Raw genomic sequence first — 12,217 nt, forward strand, 5'->3', positions numbered from 1 at the left:
GGCCTCTGGGAGGGGTCTAGGTTTTGATGAAGTCATGAGGATGGAACCCTCCTCATGACTGGGTGTGGTGGCACACACCCGTAGTCCCAGCTACTCGGGAGGCTGAGGCAGGAGAATTGCTTGAACCCGGGAGGCGGAGGCTGCAGTGAGCCAAGATCGTGCCACTGCACTCCAGCTTGGCGACAGAGCGATACTCTGTCTCAAAAAAAAAAAGAAAAAGTCATAAATATGAATTTTTAAAATTGTTTCTGGTAATATTGCCAGTCATGGTAGAGATGGTGCAGGACTATTAAAAGCAAATGGATTTTAACCCTGCTTCTGAGAGGTAGTTCTGACTACAAAGGGCAGGTGATTCTCTGCAGCCAGTGAGCAGGAACTTTGACCCTCTGGAATTGTGCTAAGCAACTGAGAGTAAATGAATCAGGCAGCAGGGCACCAGGAGGAGTCCACTAGTGTCTTTGTGATGGTTTTGTTTTTACAGGACTCATTTAATAAATATTTCACTAGGCACAATGCTGTGCATTTTTTGTCCCAGTTATCATATTTTTATAGGTATTTACTTCATAAAAGTAACATTTTTATGCTCCCTTTAAAATAGGATTCTTCTATTAGAATTGCCTAGTAAAGGCAATCAGAGGACCACTGCCTAAGGAATTCACTCACGGAGCATACATATATAAGTATATGCTCTATCTCTATCTATCATTATCTATCTACCTGCCTACCTATCTATTGATTATCTATCTATCTATCTATCTATCTATCTACCTATCTATCTTTAAGATGGCTTAAGGATGGCCACCTTCTTGGTATGTCCTTGTGTGGCTGTGAGAAGCAGCTCTGGTGTTTCTTGCTCTTCTTATATAGGCACAAATCCCATCATAGGGGTTCCATCCTCATGACTTCATCAAAACCTAGGCCCCTCCCAGAGGCCCAACCTCCTAATAACATCACATTGAGGTTTAGGGTTTCAAAATACGAATTTTTGAGGGGACACAAAATTTCAGTCTATAACTCTTATCTATATATCTATTATCTATTTATCTCTCTAATCTATCTATCATCTATCTATCCATCTATTCATTTATCGATTCGTATGTATAGAACAATAACAACAATAGCTTATAAGTCACTTCTTTATTTTATTGCATTTTATCCTTTTAGAAACTTTGTCAGGTAAACAGTCCACAGTAGAAGAACTGACTTCATTGAGATTCTTGAAGGTTGAGTCCACTGTTATTATACAACCAATAAATGGTGGTGCAAGGAATTCACCCCACATCTTCTCTGTCCTCTTCCCTTCCCTCTCTCCCTGCCTTTCTCCCTCCCACATGCTGACTCCATTCCATCCACATTACCTCAATAGCTGCTCCTTTAAGACCCCAGCCATCCTTCCCCTGAGCCTCTGCAGTGACTATTCCTATTATCTGGGATGTTCTTTGCTCAGATATCTGGCCCATTTGCCTCTGATGTTCACATTTCACTTTCCCAGTGAGGTTTGTCTTGTCCACAGTTTAAATAAAAACCCCGCTTCTTTCTATCCACAATCACAATCCTCCACGTACTTCTTTATTCTCCATAGCATTTGTTATTGACTAACCTACCAGATAATTTGCATGCTCATTGATATTCTTTCTCCCCTTCAACAAGAATGTAGGGTCCACAAAATGAGGAATTTTTCTTTTCTTGCAATTGACGCTACTACCTACAATAGTCCACAGCACATCCCAGATGCTCAACAGATACCTTAAACTGATAGAGTGAATGAACCACTTTCCAAATAGAATCTGGATTTTCCATCAGCATCTCACACTATGAAAAGTAGAACTTATATTTTTGCTAAAAACTCATGTTCGTTTACTCAAACCAGATGATGAGGATAGGCCTGGGCTTGTTGCTGTCACCCATTTCACTTCCCGCTTTTCTGACCTTCGCACCATCCCTGCCGTCAGGTCCTTTAGACCAGGAGCTCATTGCTTCATCTTTGCTTGGCTCACTACAGTGTCACTAAACTTCCTTGCCTCTGCCCTGGCGTTATTTACTTCTTTTCTCACACAGTCACAGGGAGGTTTCTATAATCTACATATAATCTTGTCATTGTTTTGCTTGCAATCCTTTCATGATTTTCAGAATAAATGACAGGTGCCCCATTGTGGTGTTTAAGTTTGTGTTCATACAACCCTTGTTGAACCCTGCAGGTGCACCTCCCGGCTTTGGTTTCACTCTTTACCCACAGCTGACCACCTCACTGGTGTTCTACTGACCGGTCTTCTCCATCCCTTCCCTAACTTCTGTCCTATTGCTTTGACCCGGAAGTAGTTCTTTTCCACTTGACTGTCCCCTTCTCCTCCTTGAATGTGCAGTTCATGTTTCATTTCCCCCAGAAGTAGTTAATGTTCTTCTTACTTGCTCCCCATTATCTCAGCACCTACCTATCCAGTTAAATGTTTGGTCTGGTCGTCTCTGTCCCCGACTACATTGTAAATTTTCTGTGGCAAGAGACGTCTTCAACTCTATATCTCCATGGCCTAGCACAGGGTTTAGAGTAGAGCTGAGGAGGAATACTTGTACTTTTCTCTTTTCCCCATATTGAGATGGTTCTTCTGGGTTGTGAAATACCTTAGAAAAGGTTATATTTTCAGCAATTCAGTCTAGTGGAGACCTAGCAGAATGCTAGGGTCAGCCAGATCTTGGCGATTTAGACTAGAGCCAAAGCAGTTATTAAAGATAATCTTTTCTGATTATTTTAAGCAGTATGATAAATTCTAAGTAAACATAAATTTTCAATAATTACAGAGTGGGCATTAGCTCTTCCTTTCTTTGTTCCTCTACATCCAAGAAACTGGATGCCAATCCCAACCTCACTGAATAAATGTTTAATATGCTAGAAGCTGAGGGAAATGCTTGTACTTTTCTCTTTTCCCCATCTTGAGATGGTTCTTCTGGGTTGTGAAATACCTTAGAAAAGATTGTATTTTCAGCAATTTAGTCTAGTGGAGACGTAGCAGAATGCTAGGGTCAGCCAGATCTGGGTATAATTGTAACTCTCGTGATTTGATATCTTGGTAATTTAGACTAGAGCCAGAGCAGTTTTTAAAGAGAATCTTTTCTGATCATTTTAAGCAGCATGATAAATTCTAAGTAAACATAAATTTTGAATAATTACAGAGTGGGCATGAGCTCTTCCTTTCTTTGTTCCTCTACATGCAAGAAACTGGATGCCAAGCCCAACCTCTGGATGAAGTGGGAATCTGTAAGGATGACGTACCTAAGTCTAAATCAGACAAAAAGACACACACAAAATACATTTATACATTTTTAAAAATGAAAAAAGTACAATTTCCTAACACACATCAGGGAATATATTGCCTCCAATGAGGTAAGAGTGGTTGGAGAGAAGAACAGACGGAAGAGGCAAGGATGGGCCACCTGGTCTCTCCCTTGTCTGAACCTCATGTCTCACTAGGTTGTCATCCTTGATGCTCAGACTTCACACGGAGGCTTCAGGACTCAGCCTGTGAAGTCAGAAAAAGTGGCTTCTTCCACATCCTCTTCCCTGGAACACAAAGTTTTGCATAAAGTCTGCCTCAACACATCACCCCTCATGTCAATTCTTCCTCCACAGTTGAATCAAAGAGCAAAAACACATGAGCAGAGGCATATTAGTAAGAGCAAGGTTTTAATACACACAATTGGGAAAGATAAGGACTCATTGAGGAATATAGGCAAGGGGAAAAGTAACACCTGTAAATAGTAGCGGGCATCCTGTCAGTTCAAGTATTAGAGAACTGGTTGGGGGCTTGGGGCAGCCAGGTTAACAGTCAAGCCAGGGAGAGCACAGCCGACACATGCTGGTTTCCTCTACCTTCCATAGGGGAATATCTCAAATACACTGTGGTTCCAACTGGGCTTATCAGCCTCCTCATGTCCTCCAACACACATACAAACACACAGGTTTGGGGCCTCCAGCTTCTAAAGGGAGAGAGCAGCTTAAATTTAACTTAAAGAGACTGACCCCCTTCCTCAAGGGGCAAAGTTCAAATAAGAGCAGGTCTTATTTGTCTCTTATTTGTCCTGCATTGCACCATCTGTGTGTACCAGGTGGACCTCATGTGCTCTTGGTGAATGGGGACCATAAGTGTGGCCACTCACAGCATTTGTGGTGCTGAACCCCATCACACCATTTGTTCATTGTGCAGGTGGCCTTGGGTGTTTGGCTGCCATGCCGGCACATGAAGGCCTCTCATTATAGCTATGGTGGCATTCATTGTAGATGCACCACCTGTGTCCAGATGGGCCAACCATGGACTGATGGAAAAAGGAAGCACAAGGGCCTCCGACAATGGAAATGAGTGTGCCTCCTCTTGGTGCAACACCTGGGTTCTGGAGCGGTGCATGCCAGATACTTGGCATGAAGGTAGAACAAGCAGAGATGTTGCTGGTGTTTGTAGCCACAACCAATGTGGTATGAGCAGGTGAACCCCAGGCTACCTGACTAAATGGGGGAACAGACTGGTGTTGGTTGTTCTCCTCCATCCTGGTACAGCTTTCAATGTTCCTGATGTTGAACTGGGGCCTGAGGCAGACATGCTAACCCCTATGTTCTCACAATCTGTAGGGGTTCCAGGTCTCATAATCCCCAGTGGGACTAGAGTAGAATTGCCAACCAATGCAGTACTGTCGCCACTGCCAGGCATGCTAGTGGCAACTTTAAATACAGAAGACTTGGCTGTAGTAATGAGGAAAGCACTTGAGTTGTTAAGCATACGTGGCTGCACATTGACAGGCAGGCCAAATGTGGAATATGGTGATGTCACACCAGTGAGATCTGCTGCCATGATGCTGCCACTCACTGGGTGGCTGGGCTGCAGGAGACCTTAGGCTTATGACTGGTGCTGGGGTTGCTGGGTTTCCCAGAATGAGAGAATCGTCTGACTTATCCTGCCCATGAGAAGCCCCAGATATGAGCTGGGAGGTGGCTCCTGGACTTACAGCATGTGGAGAAGTTGCCATCGATCCCGTGACTGACTGCAGGCAAACTGGTGGAGACATGGGCTGAAGTAATGTTGCCACTGGGTTGGTTGTGAATACCCAGAACCAAGGAGCCCCAGGTAAGGCACAGTGCACTTCTTCCATGAGATAGTGGCAGACTGGGAGATGACAGCTTTTGAATAAGGGTAGTATCCACAGCACTGCTATCAATGGTAGGAAAAGATGATGATGTTGCAGAGGTGCTGCTCCCTAAAGTGGAGGTGTCTGGAGGCATCATAATGGGATGGCTCAGAATAACAGGGGTATTAGGGACACAGGCTTTTCCTGCTTCCTGCTGGGGACCCCGAATGTGAGTGGAGCAGTGGCTCCCAGATTTATAGTGTGGTTAGAAGTTGCCATTGGTCTCGTGACTGGCTGTGCAGGCAAACTGGTGGAGATGTGGGCTGAGGCAATGCCCAAGTCAGGGGTGGGAGGAGGAGCTGGGACCTGGGAAGTGCAGGTGGCCAGGCACAGGGAGTATGAAGTCTCTGCAGGTGGGGAGGTAGCAGGGGCAGGCTGGGGGGTGCTGCAGTTTGGGTTGGCCAAATCAGGGGCTCCAAATTTGGGCTGAGGGGTGGGGCTGGGGAATATAAATGTAGCTGGGTGGATGTAGACTGAATCTTACCAGGGAGCCCCTGCTGTGCATGGCTATCTACTTGAGAAATTGGGAGAGCTCTCATCCTGGAGGTTGAGGAAGTTCTGAAAGTAACAGCCTTAGGAGGGGAAGTGGCGTCCTTGTTGATGGCCTGATGGTCTTAAGGAGGCTCCAAGATCTGGTGGGCAGATGTGTTTGCTGTGATGGTGGAAATGACTGCTGTGGAATTCATCTGCTTGCTGGTGGTAACAGAGATCTGTGGAAGGTCCTGGAAGAAGGGTGGGAGAGGAAAGAGGAGGAGGGGAAAGCACACAGGGCTGGCTCTCTTCTGAAAGGAGGCTGGAAGGAGACAGGTGTGGGGCTAGAAAGTGTTGGGGGTCAGAAGTGAGAAGTGCTGAAGCTACTCCAGAATGAGAAGAACCTCCTTTCTCATTAGGTAGAACCTCCAATATAGGGACAAAGTCAGTGGAAAAAAAAGACAGTGGGGAGTTAGGGATTTTGGATATTTTTGGTGAGGGGTCAGGTGGACAGACAGGCAGGGGGGTCTGGCAGCCAACTCGGCCAAGTCAAGGACGAACAGAGGAGCTGGGACCTGCGAAGTGTAGGTGGCCAGGGACAGGGAGTCTGAAGTCTCTGCAGGTGCGGAGACAGCAAGGGCAGGATGAGTGGTGCTGCAGTTTACCTTGGCCTCCGTTTTATCCTCCAAAGCCTCCATTTTCTCCTTGAAGAAGTTTTCTCTTCTGTTTACACCCCATGCTCTTCTCCAAGTTCCCCAGGTATCCCTCAATAGGCAGGTAGAGAAGCTTAGCAAGTGGAGAGAGCTCACCTCTATCCCACATCAATCGCAGCGTGGGGCCAGCGGCAGCAGCGGTGGAATCCACATTTTCCTTTCACAGCGCCTGTTGCTGGCAGCTCTTGGGGGAGAAGAGCTCCATGTTGGAAGAGCTGAAGGCTTCTTCTTTCCTGACATCTGCATCTCCTTCCTGGACATCAGCAAGCTTGGAGAGCTGGGCGGGTGGTCTTCATCCAGCACCTTCCGGGCCGCCTTCTCTGGCAGCAGGGAGCAGCCGGGGCTGGGGCCGGGGCCGGGGCCGGGACCACTGCAGAAGCCGGGTCAGCCTTCCCAAGGGGAAGGCCACTCCAGCAGGGCTGTATGAGCTGGGGGCCTCATGGCCCTCCCAGAAGGAGCTACTCACTGACTGGGCCTTCTCTCTGTAAAGAGTTTTTCCGACAAGTAGGGGTGGACATTTCCCTGCAGAGGCCTGGGCCTGCACCCAAAGGAGGTGAGGCCTCCCTGGGTCTCCAGGGCCCTGGATGTGGATGACACTTCCTTCTGGCTACAGGGGCCCTTTTCTTGTCATCCTGCTCCTGGGTCTCTCCGTGATGCATCTGCGTCACTGTTCTGGGCTCTTCTTTGGCCCTCCCCTCTGTCTCCTTCAGAAGCCTGGCTGCGACCTGCTCAAGTGGTGAAGGCAGTGGGTGGGCGACCTTGCAGCCAGGAGGAGGGTCCTCAGGGACCCTGGGTGCGGCAGCCTCCGGGAGTTCCCAACAGGCGGCTCGGAGGCCATAGCCTGCAGGAACCCAAGAGGGTCGCCCTTGTAGTGTGGGAGAGGACAAGGGGTGCCACACAAGCTGCCTGGAGATGAGGGCCTAGGAGGCCGCCGTGGGTTGAACAGGAATCAGAAAAGGCCTGGGTGTCCCGGGCAGGCGCGGAGGCCTTGAGGGTGAGGGGTGGGCCCTGGCCTGGGAGCCTGCAGCGAGACCAGGGAAGAAACATGTGAAGTAAATTGCCAGTCTCCAGTGAGTTGTGCGCCTGTGATACTGAGAAGAGGGACAGAAGCGGAAGTGACGCTCCTCTGTCATCCGCTCTTTGGTGGCCGGGCATCCCCTGGTAGCTGAGACTCATGACATCCCCATGCGGATCCTGACAGAGGAGGACGCCAGGGAGCGCGGGCCCAGCGAAGGCTCCTAAACAAGATCAGCGAGAAAGGGCAAGGCCCCCTGCGGGGCCCAGCGAGACTCTCTAGCCCCGGGGACCCGGGGTTGTCCTGCTGCTGCAGAGGGTGAGTGGGCCCCTCTGTGGGGACTCTGGGGGAAGCGGGGCCTGATCTGCCAGAGCCCTTCTCGCCTGGCACCTGGCCTGGGCGCTGGCTTGATACTCAGTGGCCCTGTCTTGGCCGGCCCTGTCCTCTGGGTCACAGGGGCAGAGCTTGCTGGAAGCCAAACACAGGGCCATCCAGATCCTGCCAGGCTCCCCACGGGGCCTCTCCAGTCTCTCTGTGCTGCCTGGAGCCAGGCCTGCCTTCTCCATGGCCGCCCTGGCCGCTAGGGCCACCAGCTCCCCTGCGCAGGTTTCCAAGGAGAGGCCGTGGTGCCCTGACCTGACTGGATGCTGTCCCTACCACCTCCCTTCCTGGCAGGGTGTTGTAATTTCTTTTTACAAATTCCCTAAAACAACATTTAAGTCTGTGACCGTTCCTCAGGTGATTCAGGTGGCAGTGCCCCAGCCAGGCTTTAAACTCAGGCTGATTCCACAGCTCACGCTCTGGCCTGTGTGCCTCCTTATCGTGGAGACATCGTGTTTTCTCATTCTTTCCTGTAGCCCGTAGGGTACTTAGCACGGTGGCATATGTGTAATAAACACATGCGCACCTAGGAGGAGGTCTTTACCTTAACTCGCAAGTTGTCTGTGGCCCACACAGGGCTCCAGTCCTCTAAGAAGATGTAGGGCAGGGACCATCAATTGTCACACAGTGTCATGTCACATTTCTCTTCTAATGGAGACTTGCAGCCCAGATGTTCTTTTTGGTCTTGTGTGAAGGATCTAATATGTAAAGATTATATTCTAGATCCATTTTGGTCTACCCTGAAAGAAATTCACCAGTGGATATTCCACATGGATAAGAAATCCAGTTTCTCTGGCCTTCCTGGAATATCTCTAGAAAGCAAATACATCATTTATTTGCCAGTTAATACTGGAACAATGTATTGGATTAAAATGTGATCAATACAATTTGATCATTGTGAACATGCCTGCTGGGCCCACTCTTCACCACACATTATTGTCACGTAAATATCACTCTAGACCTTCTTATGACCAAGAGAAGATACATGCTTTTTATTGACAGGACACACGAAATGTGTGTTACTGTCCTAGAATCTGGAAGGTTCAGCATGACAAGAAAGATTTGGAAAATCCTACACGACCTTCTCTAGTTTGAACCTTGTTTCTCAGGCTTATTTCGTTGGCATGTTTTTCTTTCTTGGGGCTGACGTATATCAGACATATGACATGCAGAAGTTTCAGAACCAAGAACAATGATCTGTAAAACTATTTTTATATATTTTTTCATTTTAAAATATTTACTTAAAATAACATCGGACATAACTAACATACTACAAAATTGGTTTTAGCCCTCTGCTCATAAGATTCCTTTTATAGCATGTCAGAGCAAATTTGGAATTACATCCCCAAAAAAGGCTAAGGTCAGTGGAGCACAAAAAGCTTTGCTAAGATCCGAATTCTGTTTGAAAAAAAAAAAGGAGAAATACTATAAGCCCTTTCTAACATTTCCAGGGCAGAAATCATTTACAGATATGGCATTTAACCATAATTTCTTGTAATCATTTGGGGAGAGTTCAAATCAATTGATTTCCTTTGTTCGAACAAAAATTACAAGCTCGTACAAATTTTGGACAAAGATTTCACAGGAACTCTGAAAAAATGATGATTATAAGTCAGACTCATTTGAAAACTATAAATGACAGTCATGTTATTTCCATTTTTTCCCAAAGAGGAAAAATTCATCAAACATATAATGCATATTGGGGCTTCAGGACAATACAAATAAATTTGGGCAAAGATATTCTACAAAAAAATTACCTCTTTATTTTTCTTGTCCAGTGAGTAGAGGCACAACATATATTTTTTGAGATATAGAATATTCTCTTACTTGTCCTTGTGAGGTTAAATAGCATTAGATAGATGGCAAGTTGTTATTCTGAGATCATTGAGTTTGCAGAAGCAAACATGTTGAGATAAAATTTGTCAGTGATATATTTTCTAAAAAAATTAATAATTAATAGAAATATTTTAATAATAACAGCAATTTATAGTTGCCAAGTGAGATTACCTTTAATTTGACAATTTTTAAAGCACCCATCTCCAGTCACATCAAATGAACCTGTGGCCAGCTTTGGATGACACTATGATAATGACAATAAACCATAGCTGGCAACCTGAGTTTGAACACTCTCACTCTCTCTTTTCTTGTCTTGATCACGGAAAATGTATTCTAAGTTATAGAAAGTTAATATGGGAACATAGAGTCCTCTGGACTCTACTGATCCACAGAGTGCATTAAATGAACTTTTTTTCCCTAAAATCCCTTTTGTCTCCTTGCCTTCAGTCACTACGCATTACTCTCCTGAGAACAAAAGTAATCTGAAAAAGGAATTTGAAGGAAAGAGACTTTATTCCAGTGAATAGTTTGAGAACTGCAGCCTCTGGTGTAAAATGAAGGAGTATAAAACAAAGGAAGAACTTCAGTTTTTTTTCTTCCAATTTTAATTTTAGATTCAGGAGGTACAAATGCAGGTTTGTCATCTGGGTGTATTGTGAGATGTTGAAGCTTAGGGCACAAATGACCCCATCACCAAAGTACTGATCATGGTACCCAAGAGTTAGATTTTCAACCCTCCCCCCTCCCTCTCCCTTCTAGGAGTCTCCAGTGTCTATCTGCTGCCATCTTTATATCCATGAGTACCCGATGTTTGGCTCCCACTTAAAAGTGAGAATATGCAGTATTTGGTTTACTGTTCCTGTGTTAATTTGCTTAAGATTATGACATCCAGCTGCACCCATGTTGCTGCAAAGGACAAGATTTTGTTCTTTTTTATGGCTTTGTAGTATTCCATGGTGTATATGTAATGTATTTTCATTATCCAGTTCACCATTCATCAACACCTAGGTTGATTTCATTACTTTGCTATTGTGAATAGTGCTGCAATGAACATACACGTACATGTGTCTTTATAACAGAACAATTTATATTCCTTTGGGTATATACCTAGTGATGGGATTGCTGGGTCGAATGATATTTCTGTCTTTAGGTCTTTGAGGAATCACCACACTGTCTTCAACAACGGTTGAACTAATTTACACTCCCACTAACAGTGTATAAGCATTCCTTTCTCTCCACAACCTCATCACCATCTGTTTGGTTTTTGTCATTGTTGTTGTTGTTTGACTGTTTAATACTATGCATTCTGACTGGTGTGAGCTGGTATCTCATTGTGGTTTTGATTTGCACTTCTCTAATGATCAGTGATGTTGAGCTTTCTTTCATATGCTTGTTGGCTGCACATATGTCTTCTTTTGAAAAGTATCTGTTCATATCCTTTGCCCACTTTTTAGTTTTTTTTTTTCTTGTAACTTTCACTTCATTATAGATGCTGGATATTAGACCTTTGTTGGATGCATAGTTTGCAAAAGTTTCCTCCCATTCTGTAGGTTGTCTGCTTATTCTGCTGATCGTTTCTTATGCTGGGCAGAAGCTCTTTAGTTTAATTAGATCCCATTTGTCAATTTTTGCTTTTGTTGCCATTGTTTTTGGAATCTTTGTCATGAAATCTTTGCTCGTCCCTATATCCTGAATGGTATTGTCTAGGTTGTTTTATAGGGTTTTTATAGTTTTGGGCTTTACATTTACATCTTTAATCCATCTTGAGTTAATTTTTGTATATGGTGTAAGGAAGGGGTCAAGTTTCAATCTTCTTCATATGGCTAGCCAGTTATCCTAGCACCATTTATTGTATGGGCAGTCCTTTTTCCATTGTTTGTTTTTGTTCAAAAAAGTTGTAGCAGAGGGACTCCTTCCTCTCTTATTCTATGAGGTCTTCATCATGCTGATATCAAAAACTGGCAGAGGTATAACACAAAAAATAAAACTTCAGGCCAATATCCTTGAAGAACATTGATGCAAAAATCCTTAATAAAATATTGGCAAACTGAATCCAGCAGCACATCAAAAAGCTTTATCCACCATGATCAAGTAGGCTTTATCTCTGGGATGCAAGGTTGGTTCTACATACACAAATCGATAAACATGATTCATCACATACACCCATAACTAAAGACAAAAACCACATGATTATCTCAATAGAAGCAGAAAAAGCTTTCAATAAAATTCAACATTCACGTTAAAAACTCTCAATAAACTAGGTATTGAAGTTACATACCTTAAAGTAATAAGAGCCATCTATGACAAACCCACAGCCAACATCATACTGAAGGGGCAAAAGCTGGAAGCATTCCCCTTGAAAACTGGCACAAGATAAGGATGCCCTCTCTCACCACTTCTCTTCAAAATAGTATTAGAAGTCCTAGTCAGAGCAATCAGGCAAGAGATAGAAATAAAGGCATCCAAATAGGAAGAGAGGAAGTCAGACTATCCCTGTTTGCAGAAAACATGATCCCATATCTACAAAACTCCATAGTCTCAACCCAAAAGCTCCTTCAGCTAATAAACAACTTCGCAAAGTCTCAGGATACAAAATCATGTGCAAAAATGACTAGCATTCCTATACACC

General features: G+C 44.8%; 1 long non-coding RNA gene and 1 pseudogene across 1 annotated transcript in view; one reads left to right on the forward strand and one right to left on the reverse strand.

Annotated features, from left to right (window-relative positions):
- Window positions 1-2,511: 2,511 nt before the first annotated feature.
- The window catches only part of LOC105376103 (uncharacterized), a 96,161-nt gene continuing 86,455 nt past the window's right edge, over window positions 2,512-12,217 (forward strand). Inside the window, exon 1 of the long non-coding RNA XR_929989.3 lies at window positions 2,512-7,689. This is a non-coding gene — a long non-coding RNA (uncharacterized LOC105376103). The remainder of the gene's footprint in view (window positions 7,690-12,217) is intronic.
- On the reverse strand, window positions 4,306-7,418 carry NPAP1P4 (nuclear pore associated protein 1 pseudogene 4; annotated as a pseudogene).

This window comes from Homo sapiens, chromosome 9 (genome assembly GCF_000001405.40).
Source record: "Homo sapiens chromosome 9, GRCh38.p14 Primary Assembly".
NCBI classification, from domain to species: Eukaryota; Metazoa; Chordata; class Mammalia; order Primates; family Hominidae; genus Homo; species Homo sapiens.